The 23,579-nt window shown below is 42.3% G+C and overlaps 1 protein-coding gene and 1 long non-coding RNA gene across 9 annotated transcripts in view; both read right to left on the bottom strand.

The window, feature by feature from the left end:
• Positions 1-23,579, bottom strand: part of CDH13 (cadherin 13) — a 1,173,672-nt gene that overhangs the window by 881,991 nt on the left and 268,102 nt on the right. The window lies entirely within an intron of this gene.
• Positions 9,301-21,658, bottom strand: LOC124903733 (uncharacterized). Its single transcript, XR_007065146.1, has 2 exons — positions 13,782-21,658; positions 9,301-13,740 (listed from the first exon to the last, which is right to left on the bottom strand). It is a non-coding gene; the product is annotated as an uncharacterized LOC124903733 (long non-coding RNA).

Genomic DNA, 23,579 nt, shown 5'->3' with positions numbered 1-23,579 from the left:
GTAATCCCAGCTACTGGGGAAGCTGAGGCAGGAGGAGCGCTTGAACCTGGGAGGCAGAAGTTCCAGGGATCGGAGATAGTGCCATTGCACTCCAGCCTGGGTGACAGAGTGACACTATGTCTCAAAAAAAAAAAAAAAAAAAAGTGAAAGTGTACATACCTTTTGACCCAGAGAGACATCCTATTTCTAGGAACTTATTCCACAGAAATAAATAACCAGACAAAAACCATGCTGGCCCTGCCCATCTGCTGTCTACTCACCTCTCATCTTCAGGATGTCTCAAAAAAATCACAGAAACTGGTGCAGAGATTCTAATCACCATTTTCTCCGTGTCTTCTGTGAGAAATAATTCATCTAGTTTCATAGGTGTGAACTCGTTTAAATCAGTAGGATACACTTATAATCTTCTCAACTATCTTGGATTTCAATTTTCTCCTATTTATATTTGTCCAACCCTTTTGCAGGGTGATGATTATTTTCTTTGACCACAGAAAGGAGGTACCCGGCACCTGTGTGGTTCTGCATTTGCTCTGCCACCTTTTACCAGGGCACCAGCTGCCTCGCAGCAGGTTTGTGCACAACTGCCAAAACAAACCTCTTTTTGTGATCTTTGGCTTATTTAACATTTGCAATTGTCAGGAAGCTTTAGGATCCCATACACTTGTGATGGGTCATGGATGCTGCTCCTCACATGTGCATCCATTTACTTTACATGCCTTTTTTTTTTTTTTTTTTGACATGGAGTCTCTCTCTGTTGCCCAGGCTGGAGTGCAGTAGTGAGATCTCGGCTCACTGCAACCTCTGCGTCCTGGGTTCAAGCAATTCTCCCGCCTCAGCCTCCCAAGTATCTGAGATAACAGGCGCCAGCCACCAAGCCTGGCTAATTTTTTGGGTGTTTTTAGTAGAGCCGAGGTTTCACCATGTTGGTCAGGCTGGTCTTAAACTCCTGACCTCAAATGATCCGCCTGCCTCAGCCTCCCAAAGTGCTGGGATTACAGGCGTGAGCCATGGTACCTGGCCTATATGTTCTCTTTTAAACTGAGTTTATTAGAGAAGTTCACATTTTGTCACAATACGCTTCTTTGAATGTATCATTTTATTCTCTCCCTTTCTTTGCGTATGTCTCACTGAATCCCCCTCATTTCCACTCCTTCTTGCCTCTCTTGCCTTTCTCAACTATCTTTCAGGTTTTCACAGTTAGATAGCCAGGACTTCCCTGTGAAGAATCTTTCTTTCTTTCATTTCTGCCCTGTCTATTAACTTATCTAAAGTTTTAACATATCTAAATTTTCCTCTGAACCTGAGTTGAAATGTTCTTTCCCCAAAACTAGGGCACCTTCCTGACGTAACCCTGAGCGTTCTTCCATTGGACCCACCCAATGGAGATCAGCATGGTCAGGCTTTTGCACTGCCCCATCGGCTCCACAGGACCTGCTAGCCCCTTCTTTAGAGTTAATGCGGTCCTTTCTTCTCTCTTATTTGTAAGCGTCTTCCTTTCATTTACTTTCTCTGTTGAATGCAGCAATGTTCAGACTTCCTTCCTCACTGACCCACTCCCCATAACTTTTCCTGTCACAGTGGTTTAAAAGACAAAGGCTATGCCCTTTTATTTGCCTCCTTATGTTTGTCAACGATCACTTTTACAGTGAGTAGCTGTGTGAGTGTGGATGCGGGAATATCCTAGCTCTGTTAAGGCTTTGGATATTTTCACATAATTTTAGTTTGCTACATACTAACCAGAACTTTGGTCAATTTCATTTTATTTAAGGAACACCTAAATGTGTCACATAAAAATGTAGAAATACAAATGCTATATATTCCACAACTATCTCCTAGTAGGGAATATTTTTTAGGTCTCCTGCTCTGTTACTTCAAAATTAAAATTAAGATAAACTACAACTAAATATTTTAACAAACATAAAAATATTGTTTAAAATATTTTAACAAACATAAAAATTATTGATATGTTCTCATAAACCTCCCGAATATGCTACTGGGCTTTATGAGAATGTATCTATCATGGCATTTATCAAGGTCTTCCTTTTTATTTTTACTTTATTTATTTATTTTTTTTTTGAGACAGAGTCTCACCCTGTCACCCAGGCTGGAGTGCTGTGGCGCGATCTCAGCTCACTGCAACCTCCAACTCCCAGATTCAAACGATTCTCCTGCCTCAGCCTCCCAACTAGCTAGGATTACAGGTGCCTGCCACCATGCCCGGCTAATTTTTGTATTTTTAGTAGAGACGGGGTTTCACGATGTTGGCCAGGCTGGTCTCCAACTCCTAACCTCGTCATCCACTCGCTTCGGCCTCCCAAAGTGCTGGGATTACAGGCGTGAGCTACGGCACCCGGCCAGGGTCTTCCTTTTATTTGAATCATTTTACACGAATCTCTCACCTTCTACACTGGGCCCTGGGAGCCTGTGGGTTAACCTATTTCCGCAGCCCATATTGCATCTTAAGCATGGCAATCGATGTATATTGAAAGTGACAAATAAACGCTTGCTTTATGGAATTGAACTTTGGACTCCCAGGTAAAATCAAGAATAAAAAGGAATGTAGTCTGGAGGCATTTAAACATCCTCCTCTTTATGGAAACATCTGATATTTTAAATATGAATTATTTTAAAGTATTAATTAAAACAGAGCCCAAAAGTCTCTGCTCAGACATGCTTTGAACACCTCCTTTAAAGCACAAGCTGCCTTCTTTCATGTTCTGCTATAATTCAGACATCTCTTCCCTGTAGTTAGCCAGGATTCCAGAGGCTGTGATATAGCAGTTCCCCTTCTGATGGTCTAGTATGCCAAAAAATGCAACATGCCTATTTTGTAGAGGGTGTATGTCAGAGGGTACCTTAAAGTCTCTGATATGAGATGAGCAAATCCAAGGGAAGAATCAGCTTTACAAGGAGCTGTATTACCAGCATGTCTAAGAGAGACAATCATCAAAACTCACAGGACCCCTTTCACAAACGTCACCTGCAGCAGGCAGTAGATAAGACCACAGCCCTTGGGACATGCCATCCAGTTTGGGAGGATATTTTAGGTGCTGTACACTCTCCCTCCTCCTGTCGACCTGACAATCTAAGATTTTTCAACAATGACTGTAATTTCCCCCCTGGGCCCCTGTATTTCAGCAGAGGCTAAAACGATCCCTGTATATCACTTTGATAAGTTTGTAAAGCACTCTGGCGTCTTTGGGCAGGAAGCTGCTGAAGAAAGATACCTTCGTTACAGTTTACAAAACCATTTCCAAAATGTGCTGCTTTGGCCCTTGGAGTCAAGTTCAAAAATAGAAGCCTGTAAGACGTACCCAGAGAACCACTGTCACAAAAAGACATTCTCCCTGTAACTGGAGGGCATGCATTAGCCTGTTACATTAGACTCTTGCGATATTAAATCTATATCCTAAGACCGCCTTGATTGACCATAAAAAGGACAATTGAAAACACAGGATTTGATCATTGTACATACAATACTAGCGCTATAACCACCAAATTAGACCATTTTGCAGAGAGCATCCAGGCTTGAGTTCTGTTTAAGCTGTCTCAGGGTTACATTTCATCACTGGATTTCAAAAAGGCAACAGGATATTAAGTTGATTAGGATTCAGTGAAAGTTTAGACCACTGCACATCGTGCAAATTTAACACTGGCTTCCATTCACTGTCCCTGTTAAGTGTGGAGGAGGGAGGGAAAGACATTGAACACATTTTCTGAGGATTAAAATCAGACTTCCTGATACTCATGGTGACACCGTTTGGTGTCACTGGATTTAATGCTGTTATAAATAATGAGTTAAACAAATTTGGAGAGTCTGATTAATGAACTGCAGAAACGATTTTGTAGTAGAGAACACTGATGTCTAAATGGAGCATGTAACTTCCACATTCTCCACTCTCCTGTGAGTTGTGGACGCCAGGACAGCCGTGTTCCATTTCACCTGCCCCATGCCTTGAAATGACATGCACTTTTGCCTGTGCCAGGGCTGACCAAGCTTCAAGAAAGCAGGATTTGCCTTAAAAGATCATCATAACTTTAATTTCTTTTCTCTTTACCTTTTGAAAATATTTCCATTGATTGATAACGTCAGACTCTTTAACTACTTAGGAGTGTCTGGGTCCTTAGAGGGTTAGAAGATGGTCAGGAATCATGACTGAGACATTTGCAGTCAGTCAAGGTGAAAAAACAAAACTGGCCTATTCCACTATTTACTAGTCATGAGACAATAGAAAATTTGCTTAAAATTGCTGAACGTAGGCTCATTTTTTTCTCCCTGTAAAATGGGGATAATAAGAGTGTCTCCTTGAAGGCATCTTTATGAAGACTATACGGGTTATGATAGTTTATAGGACACACAGTTAGGACTCAATGCTTCTTAAGCATTATTATTATTATTACTAACAAATGGGCCCTGGGAGGGGCCATGATGGCTGCATGGCGGTGGTATCAGTTGTACTAAGTAGAAGCCTGCCCTAGAGTCTAGTGAAGGATCTAGCAGGACCTTGTCAGATCGCTAGAAGAAAGGAGATAATGGCTAGAGTTCTGTCCTGGTTTCTGTACGTCCCTTCCTCAGAGCTCCATGCCCACCCTCATCCTGACCAAGTCATTGCTCTTACCACACAGCAATACCTTTCTTCTCTAAATTCTCTTCTGCCAGATTTTAACAAGTGGTGTCTACATCCCCCAGCGCTGTCTACATCTCCTGCCTCTCAGTAAAATAACCCTAAGTGTGCACCACTCTGTTTCTCAGCAGTCTCCTTAAGGATTAAACTCCAGGTGCTCCGAGTGGTTACCTTCTTGCTACACAAACCTCACTAGCTAGGTGGCTTCCCCTCCCTGTCTCAATCCCCCACTCCTCTACCTGCACCCCCTTCATCTCCCAAATGACTACTTCCTTGGAACGGCTGTTGAGGATCTGCGCATGGGGTACCCACACGCAGACAAACCTCAGTGGTCCCTCCTCCCCATGCACTCCTTACTCTGTCACAGCAGCTCTCTCGTCAGCGATCGCATCTTGTGCCTGGTTACCTGCTCTGCTGGCCTCTGTGGTATAGCCACCTTAGGCTGTTTCCCCAAATTGCCTCATGTTTGACCCATCGACCCACAGTAACAAGCCATCAACTTGATGGCCTTATTCACAGAAAGTAAAATAGTTGTGGCCTGGATTTCCACATATTCCCTTTAATTACAGTCCAGGGTAAGGAGGAGGGGCAGGTATCAGACCTAGATCTGGGAAAGAAAAGGCTCCAAGCACAGTAGATCAAGGTAAAACATGCACCTGGCTGAACGACACATGCTCCTGTGGGAATGGACATCCCTGCACATTCTGAATGAGCCGGCGGCTCACATCTCCCAGAACAACGCAGCATCGAACGTTTCCCTCTCTCACTTCAGACCTGCTACCTGCCCTTTGGAAAAAATAGGTAAACTCCAATTCATTTTGTACCTAGAAACACTTTTTAGACCATTTTAAAGTCCATTTTAAAATCTGAGTTCCATTTCTACTGAGTTTTTTAAGAAAAAAATTTACTTAAACCAACACTTACTCAGAGAGTCTCATACATTAATGCAAATAATGAGATTCCCAATCCCATTCCCAATCTCATGGATTTTGAATTAGGCCTAAATTCAGATTTTACCATGTAGAGACAACAAACGTTGAAAAAGACACAATTTTGAAGCACCACTCTTTTTTTTTTTTTTTTAGTCACAGTCTCGCTCTGTCACCCAGGCTGGAGTGCAGTGGCGTGATCTCGGCTCACTGCAAGCTCCGCCTCCCGGGTTCACGCCATTCTCCTGCCTCAGCCTCCCAAGTAGCTGGGACTACAGGTGCCCGCCACCACGCCCAGCTAATATTTTGTATTTTTAGTAGAGACGGGGTTTCACCGTATTAGCCAGGATGGTTTCGATCTCCTGACCTCGTGATCCGCCCACCTCGGCCTCCCAAAGTGCTGGGATTACAGGCGTGAGCCACCGCGCCCGGCGAGTCACCACTCTCTTTCAATGCAATAACAGAAAGCACAAATTAGTTGTTTCTTCCTCCCTAGGGTCAATGGAGCAGAACCAACTAAGAGTATTTCAATCACATTATTTTATGTACTTTCCCACCTGTCATAGTCATCACTCATTTACTTTAAGAAATGTTTTGACCTAGAAGAGGGTTTTACACCAGCTGGGAAGACCCCAGTCATCTGGGGGAAGGGCCGGCCTGTTTGCCTTCATTCCTACATTTATGTCATGATTATCTGAACTCTACAACCATGGAGTTACTGGTTATTGTGGAGACCCATAAAGGTTTAGAATGGAGCAGGAAAGGATATTTAGCTGGCTCAGGTTTAATTTCTGTGAAGTATGACAGAGTCCATTCGTGCTCACTCCCTCCGCCATGATGAATTCACTAAATAGTTAAGAAAATATTAACATGCAGAAACAACATTTGAACATGTCTCAGGGGAAGGACACAGACAAGAAGAGGGAGGAGGAGTGGGCTGGAGATTAAGGGGAGAAGAGGATGAGGAAAAGCTGCTGTTCCCACAGGTTTCCATGGTGATGGCGGGATGGGATGGCTGAAGAGACGGCAGGGGCGGCCGTGGAATTAGAGCCGTGGGAGCTGGGGCTCTGAGGGCTGCACACGGAAGAGCTGGTTAGACAGTGGCTGAATCGTGGGTCACAAGCACATGAGGTTCAGGAGAGGAGTCAGCAAGTGCCGGGTGGTTCAACAAGGTGTGGGAGGTCCAGAGCACTGGGTGCGTCTAAGGCTCCAGGAAGCCAGTAGGAGCAGGTGCCCTCAGCTCAAAACAGCCACTCACGGGGCTTTTGGGGAATTTGGTGGTAAAAGCCAGGATTCCAGGACAGGAGCCTGGGGCATAGGTGTGAGGGACCTAGGCTCAGCAGACAATGGATGGCCATTGAGTAAGGGGCCGTAAGGGAAGGACCATACTTCTGAACACCCATGTTTACCAGGTGCTGTCTGCATCAAGGTGTCTGAGTGAGGCTCCTGGTGGATCTTCAGAACCCCTTATTATCTGTTTTGGGTTAACTCTTTTAATCCTGACAATTATCCTGCAGGATAGGCTCTATTACCATCCCCATTTTACAGATGGAGACACAGAGTTAGAGAAGAGGAAGGATTTAACCAGGACAGTACAGCAGGCAGGAGGCAACATCAAGATTCCGTATGTAGCCCCTGCAGAGTTCCCTCTAGGTCACTTTTTCCTAAACAGGGAAAGACAAAGAGGCTTTGGATGTCACAGGGAGCCTTTGCAGTTTTGTGATGAGGGGAGAGGCATGATGAAAAGGAAGTGCTAAATCAAGTGGTTATACTCAGCTGAACTGATAAACTATTCCTTGATGTTGCCATAAACTCTGAATCTGACTCTTTTGCAGAAGTTTCTTTTTCACACAGACCACATTATGCCTTACAGCCAGATGAGATGTGCAAATGAATGGAAGTTGCAAAGAATTTCAGCGCTCGGGGAAACTATGGAATGCAGTGAGAGAACGCTCAAAGCTCTGGTTTGGTTCTGACCTTCTTATGCTTCCCATCAACTTACGATCTAGGGACTCACCATCGTGGGAGCTACAGCCCAGGTGGGATGGGTCTGCCTTACTCTGCGGCAGTACTGAGTTCTGAGTGTACACCAACCTCAGCATCATTACCCTACTTCTAGGTTCTGGCGGAGGGCATTGCTCACCTCAAAGAAACCCCTGTCATGTTCTTTGCTCACTGGCCACACAGTCAGAGTTGATTAAACTCATCCACTGGCAAGCCTGTGGCACTGTTGACCCTCTGGGTAAGAAAGAACACCCTCACTGTGCTCTGAAAGGGACAATATGGCTTTGGAAATCCCATTCTCTAAATCTGCACCTCCAAAACCAAAAAGGTAATCCTTTTAAACACTGTGAATCATATGAGAAATATGCAAAGAGAAATAACAATGTCACATGGCCACCAATAAGTACCACTAAACACCTGTGCGGCCTGTTTAGTGGTTTGAGACTAGGAGCCTGGGAGCCTTCTTATAGGACAGAACGAATTTTCCAACAAGGATTAGCCTTGAGACTAGAGTTTAATGAAACAATCACTAACACCAGAGGCTTGGGCAAGGGAATCGGTTGACTCCAGGGAGTTCAAGGTTTGTCTGGGGAAGATATTTATCTAATAAAACATGAATAAATAATACAAAAAAAATCTAAAGTCAACAGATGCAGAGGAGCCTAGGGACAAAAGGTAGGGGCTGGAGGGATAAGAAGGTACTTTAAAAGCAATTTAATGTTTTAACTTTTCAATAGACATTCATTACTGGAGAAATGTCATCACAGGTGCAGAGAGAAGCATGTACAAGGCTGCTCATAGCTATGAGTATCGGCCAGAATAGGCTGGATTATGTAGTGATGACAAGTAGTTCCAAAGTCTGCATGATGTCAAACAACAAGGGTTTAATTCTTGCCTGTGCCACATGCTGCATGCAGGTCAGCAGCAGGATTCTGATGAGCATAGACACCCAGGGACACAGATGACTCAGACATCGGCATTTGATGGGATGCGTAAAGAGGGGTGGAGAATTGAACACCGGCAATTGTATACTTTGGCTGAGAAGGGTCGCATGCCACTACTTCCAAGTACATTTCAGTGGTCAGATCCAGTGGCATGGCCACAGCTAACTCCAAGAAGGCAGGGAGGGAAGGTATTAATAAAACCTCTTGTAACCAGGAAGCAGAAAAGGACCAGATATTGGTGCACATGAAAAATGTCCACCACATGTGTATGGGCAAAAATTGGGAAGAAATGCCTGTTTTCTCATCTATACATGATATGCGAAGTACATCTGATATCGTTTGGCTGTGTCCCCACCCAGATCTCATCTTGAATAAGATGAGATCTCCCATAATTCTCATGTGTTGTGGGAGGAACCCGGTGGGAGGTAATTGAATCATGGGGTTGGGTCTTTCTCATGCTGTTCCCCTCATCTCATGAGATCCGGTGGTTTTACAAATGGGAGTTCCCATGCATGAGCTCTCTTGCCTGCCACCACAAAAGATGTGACGTTGCTCCTCATTTGCCTTCCGCCATGACTGTGAGGTCTCCCCAGCCATGTGGAACTGTTAGTCAGTTAAAACTATTTTCTTTATAAATTACCCAGTCTCGGGTATGGCTTTATCAGCAGCATGAGAACAGACTAATACAATGTCCGTACCAAAGAATAGTTAAAAACAACTTAAAATGTTAAAACACAAATTTCAGAAAAATTCATATAGTAGTATTCCTGTTATATTTAACGCACACATTTTATTTACCTCACATAATTACCTCTTATATTTAACACTTCTAGATCACAAAATTCTACGTGTCTACACACACACACACACACACACACACACACACACACACACATATACAGTCAGTCCTCAGTTTCTGTGGGTTCCACATCTGTGAATTTGACCAATCATGGATTGAAAATATTGTTTAAAACAATAAAAATAACAATGCAACTATAAAACATAATACAAATTTTAAAATACAGTACAACTATTTACAAAGTATTTACATTGTATTACATATCATAAGTAATCTAGAGATGATTTAAAGTATAGTTGTCCCTCTGTATATGGAGAAGATTGGTTTCAGGACCCCCACATATATACCCTGACCCATGCATACTCAAGCCCCACAGTCAGCCCCGTGGAACCCTTGTGTATGAAAAAGTGACCCTCCTTATATGCAGGTTTTATATCTTATGAATACTGTATTTTCAATTTGCCATTTGGTAAAAACATGTGGATAAGTGGAGCCATTCAGTTCAAACCCATGTAGTTCAAGGGTCAACCGTATAGGGAGAATGTGCCTAGGTTTTACGCAAACATTACACTATATTATAAAAGAGACTTGAGTATCTGCAGATTTTGGTATTCACAGAGGTTTCTGGATTTTGGCCCCCACAGATACCGAGGGGTGATTGTATGTACCTAAATGTGAGAGAAAGGTCTGGAAAGTGATTCATTAAACTAATAATGTTGGTTGCCTCTAAGGGAAGAATATGTTTGGAAGGAGGAAAAGGGAATATCTGTTTTTCTGAACTATTTAAAATGAGAATGTACTCGTATCTAGACTCTGAATTGTTAAATAAGGTGTTTAAAAAATGCCTTCATCTGATGCCCATGCCTGCTGGGCAGGTGGCCCCTGTGTTAACCTGGGGTGCCATGTCCATTGTACAAAGGTAACTGAGACCGCTTTTGACCTCCCAGTGTTCCATGAGCTGCACCCACCATGTGTTCATCAACCTTGTCAATATGGGAGGAATTTCCATTACTAGCTGGTCCTACTTGGTCTTGCATCTGGCACTTTCCAGAACATTCTGGAATTTTAATTCCAAAAGAAGGCACCTCCTCCCTCAGGTTCTAGCTACCCATCACCTTTTGTATTCATGGGACAATATCCTGTGGAATGTCAAGGTTCCAGACGTTTTCCTTTTCCTTTCTTATTTCAAAACATACCTGTCTTCTGCCTGACCCTAGCTCCTTTCCTCAAGCTTCTTCTCTAGGTTAAGGATAGTGTGGTCCAATAAAATAATAAGCACAATAAATCCAACAGATATATTATTTACCCAGAATAACCTATTGTTGTAAATCAGGTAGAACATGTACCTTTCCTGAAAGGTCTTAGGGCAGAAGCACCAGTATATTTAAGACAGTAGGGAAGTGGAAAAAAATTTTTTGAAGAAGCTAATTTTTTAAAAGTAATTTGGAGGGCTCAGCCCATGGTTTGCATTCAAAGACATACTATCTCTACTTTGGGGGGAACATACTCAAAATACTAGTGAGAAATAGAATGGGAACAGAGTGCTCACTCAAGTGGAGGCCCTGCACAGCGCTGGCTATGCAGGAATCATCTACAGCAGTCCTTGGCAAGAGAGACTCCTTCCTCACACACTTGACTCAAAAGTGGCTGTTCCGGGAACCTCTTCCTCCAGTTGGAAACAGAAAATCAATGTGAGGCAACACAGGTGTTGTCATGGCTTTGGCCTCACCATGAATTTTCTGTCATAGTTTACAAAAAGGAAGAAAAGAATTGCAAGCATGGACTGTTTTGCTTTTCTCTTCTCAAAGAAAAATATATAACTGACCATTGTTGGTAATGCAGAAATGAATGGACCGACAGTTTGGATATTTCATAGATGGGTCAAGCCTCAGATTCAAGTTGCAGTGTGACTTGGGAAAATTCACTATATCTCCCTAAACAGTAGTTTTTAATCCCTACAGTAAAGGGATTATGATTAAACAGGGGTTTGTGGAGCCCTTGGGATGCTCTGGAAGTCTTCCGGGAGCCTAGTGAGGGGTAAAGAGGAGGGGGCAGCGGGGGTCACTGTGGGCCACCCCTTCCTCCTGCAAACATATCACCTAAGCTTTGGTTCGCGTTCTTTTCTGTCCTTTACTGTGACTAAATTTCCATTTAAAGAAAGGGTTCCACTGAACTAGGCAATCATCAGATCCCATTTCTGTTCTGAAATTCTATATTCCAAAATAACTTATGGAGTAGGCCTTGAATAAGAGGCCAATTAAACTAGAGTAAGGGATCTTGGTAGGAAAATTTTAGTGACAGTTGCTCTGGGTTAAATGATGCCTCCCCAAAATCCATGTTCATCCAGAACCTCAGAATGCAACCTTATTTGGAAATAAGGCCTTTGCAGATGTGACAAAGTTACGGTCATTTTAGATTAGGGTAGGCTCTAAACTCAAAGACTGGTGTCCTTACAAAAACACATGAGGACACACAGACAGAGAGGCAGAAGAGGAGGTCATGAGACAATGGAAGCAGAGGTTGGCAAGATGCACCTGCAGGGAATGCCAAGGACTGCCAGGAGCCACCAGCATCTAGGAAGGGGTGGGGAAGGATCCTCCCCTGGAGCCTTCGGAGGGAGTACAGCCCTGCCGAAACCATGAATATGGAATTCTAACCACTAGAACTGTGAGAAAACACATTTCTGTTGTTTTAAGCCATTTGAGTTAGTGGTAATCTGTTACTCCAGCTCTCGGAAACTATTAGAAGAGCCTAATGTGCACTAGACATTTTCAGGTGAGTCCCCTCATTAAAATCCTGGCAATGAGAAACCAGCCTTTGTCACAGTCCATTCTCCCCAGTCCATTAGCAAGGAAATATCCTTTTGTGGTTATTATTCTTTTAGGACATGGAAGTAAGAACTCTTACAGTACAAGTGGGTTCATGATTGCTTCAAGGGGTTTCCTGCACAAATTGCCGGAGCTTTGATGTGGTAACAAAAGCTGAAAACTCACACCAGAGAAATGGGGACTAAGGGCCAATCATGTGTTAAAGGAATCCTCATCATGGCCACCATGGAGGTCTGCTAAGCTATAAGCTTAGTGGGGAGATTATTAATCTATCAACCTTCTAGTAAAGGGCTCCTGAACATCTGAAAGCCTGAAATGAAATAATGAGAACTGCAAAAACTTCTCCATCTTCATTAAGAAAATATAGTGTCAGAGATTCTCTTTCCTTGCTTTTGTGGAGAAGATCTCTAGAGAGATAGATGTACAGGTAGGTAGGTAGGTAGATAGATCGATGACAGATATTAGACAGGTAGATAGATAGAAATATGCATGTATATATTCATATACTTATATAAACATACACATATGTGTATTTTTTCAAAGTCAGAGTATATCCTATTTAAATATTTTTCTGAAAGAAAAATTTCAACAGAGCCTGGGAAAAGAGAAAAAGGAGAGAAACTTTTGCCACACTGTACAATGCTGTAGCCAGTAGCCATGTGTGGTTACTAAGCATTTGAAATGTGGCTCGTCCTAATCGAGACATGCCACAAGTGCAAAATAAATACACACTGGATTCTAACAACTTAGTACAAAAAGGTCAAATATGTGAATAATTTATCATATTGATTACACAATGAAGTCACATTTTAGATATGGGTTAAAGTACATTATTAAAATTAATTTTACCTGGTTCTTTTTGCTTTTTTGATGCACCTACTAGAAAATTTAAACTTACTTGTGTGACTTATGTTATATTTGTATGAGACAGTACTGGTTAAGGAAAATGTGGTTTCTGATACTTTCTAGTTAGTCATCATTTTGAATATTTTTGTTCAGGAAGTTCTCATTTTTCTTAGGCTTTGTTTTTAATTTGCTGAAAAAATTATCTTACACACACACACACACACACACACACACACACACACGTGTGATTCATGGTATAACACCCAAGTCCTGTTTTTCTTTTTCTTATGGTAACTTCTTCCTCCTTAAAAACGACTATCAGATATATAATTAGTTCATATATGTTTTACTCATAAATATCTTGTTATATTATAAATTGCTGCGTGACCTGAGCAAGTTGCTTAACCTCTTAACCTCAGTATTATCTCCCATAAAAGAAGTCCATCTAGAGAGAGATGATCCATATAATCGCGATTCTCAAGCTCTTTCTCCCGTCTAAACACACCGGATGGTTACAGAACTGCTGTCAGCAGCCGTGGCTCATTGTGAATGGCACTGCCTCTGCTTCCCCCTACTTCCCTTGAAGAATCATTGACGTGCCTTTCTCAGACTCAGCGAGATGCTTCTAGGGAAGAGTCCAATTGCAGCTGCTAGAGTCAGAGCCTCTAGAATTTTGAAGAAACCTGGGTTCATTTAGGGAGAAACTGCACTCCATGGGAGAAACCTGGGTTCATTTAGGGAGAAACTGCACTCCATGGGAGAAACCTAGGTTCATTTAGGGAGAAACTGCACTCCATGGGACAAACCTAGGTTCATTTAGTTCAAATGTCGCACTCTATTCATGGGAAACGGTGGCCCACATGGAGTAATGGTCTGCTAGTCAAGTCACCCAGCTGGCCAGAAGCAGAAGGCTGGCTCTGGTAAATACTGACCACCCGTTAAACCTGCTTCACTTAAATTATGCTGTGATGGGAGAGGAGGCTGCAATGACATAGAACTCCAGGGGAAAGACTACTATGCCCACCCAGGTATCTTGAATTGCACATGTACTATGACTGACTCTCCATACATCACTCCCTTTCTCTCCGCAACCCCTGCATTTTGCTGGGAGGTATTAGGTTGGGGCAAAAGTAATGGCAGAAACAGAAATTACTTTCGCCCCAACCTAATAGTTTTCCCCCGTCTCAATTTGCCACAAAGGGTGAGAAGACAAAGGATTCAGAGCAAGGTGAACCAACGAGGGTGTCTTGGAGAAAACTCAACATCTCTCAAATTAAGCTAAAAATCATCATATCAATCTCTCTTTAGAGAGAAAATGAGAGACTAAATAGAAAGCTACTTGCAATGGATTTGGATGCCAAAGCCTTCTGAAGTACTAGGATTTCCAAAAAACATTTCCGTTCTGTGCAGACCTGAGGCATATCGGTTAGATCAAGTCATGATTGACAAAAGTTTGTATTTATTACAAAAGATGCCAAGTTATATTTAGGTGTTTGTATTTATTACAAAAGATGCCAAGTTATATACAGGTGTTTTTTTCTTCTTTAAATCTCACTCTAATTGCTTATTACCATTCAAAATATCATAATTAGCACCAGTTAATTTGTGTGCTTAAATATTTTAATAACGGGTTATAATTTTAATAGAAAAAAAAGCAGTTTGGAAGAGAATCACAGGATTCTATGACTTCCAGAAGAATAGGGAGAGAGAAAAAGAGAGACATACAGAGAAGCAGACAGACAGACTGGGCTTTAGAGCAGACAGAACTGGGGCCCCATTGTGACTTGCCACTTCCTAGCTATAGGCACTTCAGCAATCTGCATCACCTCTCTCAACCTCAGTGCTCTTATTTACGAAACATGGATAATAAACCCTACCTTCCCTATGAAGGTGCTCTAAGGGTTATTCCAGGCTTGTTACTATACAGCCCCTAACACATGAGGGATAACATATATGTTCCCTTTTCCTATATGCACAGCCCCCTAAGGAAAGGGAAAAAACCCGTTAGGGTCTGATTCCAAGTAGAAAGTTTCCACGGCAATTAAACTGTGAGAAGCATTTTCCAGTTAGCTCACGACTAAAACACCAGAATAAAACAAAAAGGATGAAAAAAGGGTTCAAGTCCTAAGCGTCAGAGAAAGATAATGGCAGGGTGGGTGGCCAGGAAGGGCCAGAATTAGGAAAAAACTAGGTGGGAAGAAACGATGAGGATAAAAATTTGGAGACCATGAGCTAGGGCTCCCACTTATGTGTGAGCAAGTCCACTGCGGGTAGGCAAAGCAATCCAAAGCTCTTCACAGGGTCAAACACCAACCCAGCCTCCAAAGAGGACAGGTGCAGGTAGATGGCATGGTGCAGCTCCCAGCTCTGAGAAACCCATGATTCAATAGGGTTGCCATGCAAACTCAACCTAACCAAGGTGCTGGGCCAAATGTTTTTCATTGAGGCATTCATTACTGCTGCTGTTTCTGACACCATGTTTGAATTAGTGTTTCTGTGGGTTATCCTATGAATAAGTCAACAGGCAGAGGCCTGAGGTGGTTTCACCACTTACTGCTCATGTGCTTTAAAGTCTCTGAATCTTGGTCATCTTGTCTTTTTCCATTACCATCTTTATAGAGTTGTTGTAAGGATTCAAAGAAATAATGTAAGAGTCAGACAGAATGCCTGAACTAGAGAAAGGAGTCAACAGTTGCTAGCCATGAAGACAAAGATGATGATGTAGATTCCAACTCTTAGAGCTTCTCCAAGACCCATCCAATTTGCCCAGACTTCGCCCTTTCCATACTGATGAGTATTTCCAACCTACTGTTGGCAGTTTATATTGGATGAACCCTCTTTATACCAACCAGACCAAGGCAGACATCTTCTGGCTTTTAAAAGAACATCTGGTGGGAAATACAGAAAACAAACATGGTAGGTTTCGTTGGGGAAATCTACCATGAATGGCTCAACAGAAGAGACAAAAATGAATGAATGCCAATGTTGTATGGCATTTCACCAGCAGTAATGAATATGACACTGATTAATGTATAGGTAGAGTTGTAGGGGGCCAAGCAAAGAAGCACGTGAGAAAAGAGGGGTGGGGGAGGTTAAGAAGCTAAACACATTCCAAGTGAAACGAGTAAATAAATCCCGAGGAAAGAAAGAAAATGAGAATTAATCAGGAGTGTGCTGAGCTGTGGCACTGCCAGGCACAATCACAGGACTTCTTAATTGCTTGTCAAAGACCAATGTATCCTGGCAAAATGATCCTCAACTAATGCTGGGACTTTTTTTTTTTTTTCTCCTAACCTGGCTTCATTTATCATGATTAGAAAACAAGTCAAAATTGATTTCTGTTTATTTTATAAGGCAAATCTCCAGAGAAGCTTTCTCCCCAGTAGTTTTGATAATTTTTACCTTAGATGGGGAATACCCTAAGAACATAAAGAACCACTTTATATTGCTTCAGGAGGTTAGGGCACATTTACGCATATCATGAAAAATGGCAGTCTCTTAAGCTTTTAACAAATCACCTCACATCCATCAAAGCAAGCCTTTTAGTTCTTTCCTGCTTTAAAATGGGCAAATTAAAGGCAGTTTGATATAGGCAAACAGCCCAAGTTTTGAAATGAGACAGACTTGTGTTTGAGTCTTGACTCTGCCACGTAATAGCTATGTGACCTTGGACAAGTCACTAAAAGAAATCTCAGCTTTATCTCAGAGAAAGTGAGGTTGCTAACACCGCTCAGATTTTCTGGGATGGTTAGGCATTGTTTGTGTGAAAAGTATCTGCACAGAGAATCTGCTCTACTGATGGAAGGCATGGAAATGGTGTCCTACAAGTTTAACGAAACCCTCACTGGACTTCAGGCTCCATGAGGGCAAGACCTTTGTCTTTTGTTTTGAGTTACATGCAGGCAATTGGCACAGGGCCTGGTATATGGTTCGTATCCATTTTATCTATGTAATACATTATACCTAGCACATGCCGCAGCCCTGTAAGTGTTTATCAGTTATTAATCCATTTAATCCAATCAATATTTGTTGGTTCTTTTATTCCTTACTGAAAAATATATTGAGCAATTATTATACCCCAAGCAACATGCCTTTTTCAGGGTGCCTTCTAGAACCTAGAGTGCAGAGGGTAGTTTCATTCATTCTTTGATCTATTCACTCACACACTTGCTTGTTCACTAAGTATTTCTGTTTTAGCTTTACACGGCTATCTCAGCCCACCATCTTTGTCAGGTCTCCTAGATGAAAAACAAGGTCAGCTTGCCCTCATCCCTGCACCCTAAGTATCCAAGAACCCCAATCATCAGACACACACACACACACACACACACACACACACACACACACACAGGAGAATACTATCTATTCCACTAAGATTTTATTAATCAGGTAAATCATATTTGAAGGCCTGCAAGGAGATTCCTAATTTGTGGGCCTCATATTGCTAGAAAATAAGCTGTGATGAGAGCAAGAAGACAGTGTCAGCAGAAGGTCAAAAAACAACCTTTTTCTTCTGTACGGACATTTTTATTCCCTAAACAGATTCCAGGAGATCATGCTCTCTTTCTGGAAGTGTAATAAAGGCAAAAAAAAAAAAAAAATCAATATACATTTTGGCTCATGTGAAACAACCTTATGAGGGGCATTAACTTGATCTCCAAGAACCTAGAAACTTCCCTTGGCATTCTGGGCTCCTGGATCATTCACAGATGAAGTTCCTTTATCCATGAAGGCCCCATTCCTGGGATTTAGTGCTTGGGATTTCCCTGCTCGTTTTGGTTTATGCTTAATCCTAACAATTAATTCTGAGTCTCCTGCCTGGGGAAGTTTCTGCCATAGAATTTCTTGGCATTTACCCAGCCAGAAAGGAAGTGATTGATTCTTCCTTCACTATTCTGCACAAAAGCTAACGGCCGGGCAGAAATATCACCTGCCTTAGCACTGGCCTCTCCCAGGCTCGCCTCTTGACCTATACTCTTGATTTCATCCCTCCCGTCTCCTCGGGGACGTTGGTTCATCAATTACTCTGTTTCTCTCTCTCATCTTCAATCACTTCCTCTCTGCTGGTTACTTCACAGCAGCTTACAAACATGTTTAAGGCTTATTTATTCGGGGAAAATAACAAAATAGAAATCCTTTTCTCAATTCTACCCACCTCTGAAGTTATTTCTTATCTCTTGCTTTTTCAAGACAGCTGAGCTTTTTGATAGAATTTATTTCCTTTCTGTCTTGTCTGTATCATCCCTGTACTTCTTGAACCAGGCCACACTTGGCTTGTGGCCTTATCAAGTCACTGAAACTCTTGTGCCAAAGATCATTAATAACCAAGTAAAACTCAACTTCAGAGTTTATTTGGCTTGGCCTGTTTGTGGTATTTCATTTATGCTGTGCTCATTCACTTATTCACATTCTCTAAGTGTCAAGCACTCAGCTATACTTGGGACAGGCATGGGCTTGTTGTCCTGGTTCTTTCTGTCCACCAGGAATAAAGATGTGATCTAAAAGGGGCCCAGCAAGAATCACTCTTGGCAGAGGGAATGGCAGCTGCAAGGACACTGGGTGGTAAGGAACATGGTATATTTGGAAAAGTCAAAGTAAGTTCATGTTTCTGGGAAATAGAAAGCAAGAGAGAGAGAGAGCAATCAAGATGGGGCAGGGGAGACATGGGAGAGCCAGACCTCACTGCCCATACGTGTAGATTTCTGATGACATTCTGAAAGCTACAGGGAAAACTGGCAACTGCTCTGCCCTCGTAATCACTTGCACATGCTCACTATCCTGAATGCCAGGGGCCAGGAAATCATGGGCCTATTATGGAGAAATAACAGCAAAGAGAACTCTACTTCTCAATCCCATTATACCGAACACATAGCGATTCACTTTGTTTTGTTTGGAGGAGGAGATTGTGGCTTTATGTCCTTGTTGACAAAGGAATGTGTCCACACTAAATGGGCCAGGTGAGAAATGCAGAGGTGCTTCACTGCATGACTATAAACCAGTGCAAAAATGCTCTCAATAAACTATAAGGCCAAATCCATGCATACTCCAAAACACGCAAACACACACACACACACAGGCACCTACACGTGCCACCCACCTGCAGGCATTGCCTCATTTATTTCTGAGTTCCGAAACTAGGGCTTGTACTAGATAATAAAATAGACAGGATATTCGTTATCATCAAACAAATCTGAAACTGAGCTTTAGATAACATAAGGATTCTGAAAGTTAAGTGCCATTTTATGATACCTTTCAATTTAGAAGTGCATTGCAGATAAAACATGGCTTTTGCGTAAACCATTGATGTATTGTATTGTTAAGATCAATGAATTATTAAAAGAATAATCTCTTAAACACCAAGAAATTGTCTTCTAGTGGACTCTAGGGACCATGGGTAGATGCATTACACATACTCATTTGACACTGCCCTTACTGTAATTTATATACACTCCGAAATACCCACCTGACATCACAGACACTTGGTCTTCCTCCCACACACTCAGCTAATGTGAGACCCTGTGGACTGAGCTTGCAGTAAAGGAAGGCACACTGTGCCCTCTATTTCTCTAGACAACTGAAGTGGACACTGTGATGGACCCTTCAGATGGTCCTTCAAAAAGGACTTGTCATCCTAGTTGATGAGTGTGATCTTGGGGGACAGTCTGAATGCTGGTCCTCTTGGGAATTACCTCAGCTGCAGAGAGCTGCCTCATCCAAGGTTTTGCCCCTTCCAGGGAAGCCCATATCTACATACTGAGTGAAGTTAAGCATACTCTTTAATAAACAAGCACTTTAATAAATAAAAATGCTAAACTGCAGCTCAGACTCTGTTTCCTAGAAAACCCAACTTGAGACAACTTCACTTAGAATTCCAGCCCCAAATAACTGGATGAAGCTTTTCTCTCCACTACTCCACCCTTCCATCATTCACTGGGAAGACCATTCCCTGCTTCATCCATCAGGTAAAATCTAGTGCTCTCATCAAGGCCCAGGTGAAATCTCCCACCTCTGTAAACATTCCCCACAGACATTTGCTCCGGGCTCTGTGACCTCAGAAACCTCTGGACTTTTAGACCACTATCTATATCATCCATGAGACCAGTGCTATAATTCAAGAGAATTATAATAGGAACCATATGTTCATTTTTTTGAGATGGAGTCTCAATCTGTCTCCCAAGCTGTAGGGCAGTGGCGAGATCTTGGCTCACTGCAACCTCTGCCTCCCAGGTTCAAGTAATTCTCCTGTCTCCACCTCCTGAGTAGCCGGAATTACAGGCACATGCCAGCATGCCCGGCTAACTTTTGTATTTTTAGTAGAGACGGGGTTTCACGATGTTGGCCAGGCTGGTCTCAGACTCCTGATCTCGGGTGATCCACCCACCTTGGCCTCCCAAAATGCTGAGATTACTGGAATGAGCCACCACGCCCGGCCATGTTCATTTTTAATTGTCTAATGTCACCTTAATAATTATAAAAAGAAATGGGTGGAATTAATTTTAACAATATGTTTCGTTTAACATTATATGACCAAAAACTATCATTTTAATATGTAATCAGTATAAAAACTATTCATGAGATTTTAAAAATAATTTTTTCTTTATTCACTCTTTGAGAACTGTATATGTTTTATATTCACAACACATCTCAATTGAGGCCAACTGTATTTCAAGTGCTCAATAGCTCCACGTGGCTTACTGTATTGGACGGTGCAGATGATAAGCATCAGAGGCATAAAGATTAACACTTAGTCCATGGACTGGCATGCAAAGGAGTTTGATAAATGTTTGCCGACTAGTGAACAATGAATAAATGGCCAATGATAAATGAATGAATAAAGAAATGATCAAGATAAACTCATAAAGGCACATCTTAGTTACCTGGCCTAAGCCTAGGATTCATTGCTATTTCCCCACCCCTTGCAGTTTCAGGACTCTACTCAGCAGGGCAGAGTATTTCTCCACGTCTTTATCCACCTTGCATTGGCAATGTACAGCATTAATAGCTAAGGGTATGGGCTTTAAGTGTCAACTTCAGAAGACAGAGCTGAGTCATTTATTAGTTGTTGAGCTTGGTTGAGTAAGTTGCATAACCTATCTGGAGGCTTATTTTCCTCATCTATAAAATGGGGATGGATAATAGCAGCTCCCAGCGTTGCTGTAAAACTAGACAGTACAGATAAATTCTCAGTAATAAAGTAGCTGAGAGAGCCAAAAGTGAGGCAGAAAACCTGGAGGAAGAGCCAGTTATAAACATAACATGAAGGAGTAATTCTTTCATTCATTCATTTATTCATTATTCATTCATTGAACTAATATTTCTTATACATCTCTGTGGTGGCCATGGAAATGCACCTCACAGATCTCTCATTGAAGGAAGTACATTGATCAGCTACCCCAGCTGCTGTGTGCTGATATCTGTGGCCACATTTCTTGCCAAGGTCATGCTTCCACATGCTGCTGCTGGCCAGTTACTTAGTTCAAAAGCTATGCTAAGGCAAACCCACTCCTGTGAATTTAAAACTTTTTTGATGGGCAACTTTGGCTCAAGTACTCTCTGACAGCACTCCCAGAATTCTTTAGAATTGCACAGCAGTGTGGCAGGGCACGGTGGCTCATGCCTGTAATCCCAGCACTTTGGGAGGCCGAGGCAGGAAATCACGAGGTCAGGATACTGAGACCATCCTGGCTAACATGATGAAACCCCATCTCTACTAAAAATACAAAAAAATTAGCTGGGCGTGATGGCGGGCACCTGTAGTCCCAGCGACTGGGGAGGCTGAGGCAGGAGAATGCTGTGAACCTGGGAGGCGGAGCTTGCAGTGAGCCGAGACTGCACCACTACACTCCAGCCTGGGTGACAAAGTGAGACTCCGTCTCAAAAAAAAAAAAAAAAAAAAAAAAAAAAGAATTGCACAGCAGTCTAAAATAATTCCACTCAATCTTTCTTTCTTTCGTCTCTTATTCACTGAGAGTCAGACCTGCATCTGGTCTGACAGCTCTTCCAGTCTCCCAACTCCCACCTCATTTGATCTCCCAGGTATATCCCCTAATAATTTTTTCACACTTTAATCCTGTCCTGGAGCTGGGCACCTTGGCTCACACCTGTAATCCCATCTCTTTGGAAGGCCAAGGCAGGCGGATTGCTTGAGCCCAGGAGTTTGAGACCAGCCTGAACAACATGGCAAAACCCAATCTCTAAAAAAAAAATACAAAAATTACCCAGGCATAGTGGGGAACCCCTGTAGTCCCAGCTTCTCAGGAGGATGAGAGGTGGGAGGATTACTTGAGTCCAGGAGGCCAAGACTGCAATAAGCTGTGATAGCGCCACTGCACTCCAGCCTGGGAGACAGAGGAAGACCTTGTTTCAAAAAAAAAAAAAAAAAAAAAAAAAAAAAAAAATCCTAATCCTAGTTCTCAGAAGACTCAGACTATCTCAATCTGCAATATGCCTGGCAGTGTTGTAAGAAGTGCTGGAAATACACCCGTTAACAAGGAAAATAAGGCTATTGCTCACCATGAAGCCTATACTTCTACAGGGAAACAGGTAAGATACGAATGAATGAATGAGAGAATGTCAGGTTGTGAAATATTATATAAACAACATAAAACAGGGTGATGCCTTAAAGTAGGCAGTGAAGAGCTCTTAAAGAGGTAGTGTTTGATCTGAGAACTGAATGACAGGAAGCACTACCCATGAAAAAATTTGCAAGAGGGATAATGCCTGCGAAGGCTTTGAGGCAGCCACAAGCTCAGTGTGTTCAAAGAGCAGAGGGGAGGCTGATCTTGTACCCCTTCAAGGCTCTCCCATGTGTACTGGCTTGACGTACTGCAAGTTGATACTGGAGAGACCTTGGAATTTCTGTGGACGTGTTCAAGCTCCTGAGTGCCTCCCTTAAAGCTATTTCATTGGCTGTACAAATGGTTAATCTAACAGTTTATAATGGACAAAACCAAGCAGAAAACACCCCTCTTTAAAAAAAAAAAAAGGGAGAGGCGTCCCTTTCCTAGTATGTAATGTTTGTTTCATCATCTACTACCTCACATAATTCAAAGTTTCTATGATGGTGAATGCATGTCATTTATCCCAACCCATACAGCGCATAATATTAAGAGTGAACCCTGATATAAAGCATGGCATCTTTGGTTGGTAATTGTGTGTCAATGTGGGTTCATCAATTGTAACAAACACACCACTTGAGGAGAACCAGTGAGTCTGGGCCTTTACTCTTAAAGAGTGAAGAAAAGACTAGCAGGAAGTTAGACTAAAGAAATGGAAAAGGACCAGATGATGAGGGGATGGTGGCAAATTTGTGTTTGAGCCTAAGTGTGATGAAGGAGGGAGGGTAACAAGCCAGGGAAGGACACAATTGAGTATATGTGTGGGTGTCTTTTCTTCTTAATATCAAAAAAGGTAAATTTTTAGAGACAGAAAGTAGTATTGGTGGATGTCAAGGGCTGGAGGTAGAGGAATGCAGAACGGCTGCTTAATGAGTATGAGCTCTCCTTTTGGGGTGATGAAAATGTTTTGAACTAGGTAGAGGTGGTGATTGCAAAGCACTGCAAATACGCTAAATGCCACTGAATTGTTCACCTTAAAATGAGTGA

Source organism: Homo sapiens, chromosome 16, assembly GCF_000001405.40.
Source record: "Homo sapiens chromosome 16, GRCh38.p14 Primary Assembly".
NCBI classification, from domain to species: Eukaryota; Metazoa; Chordata; class Mammalia; order Primates; family Hominidae; genus Homo; species Homo sapiens.
Note: the sequence above shows the minus strand (reverse complement) of the source record. Positions and strands in the feature narration are given on the sequence as shown.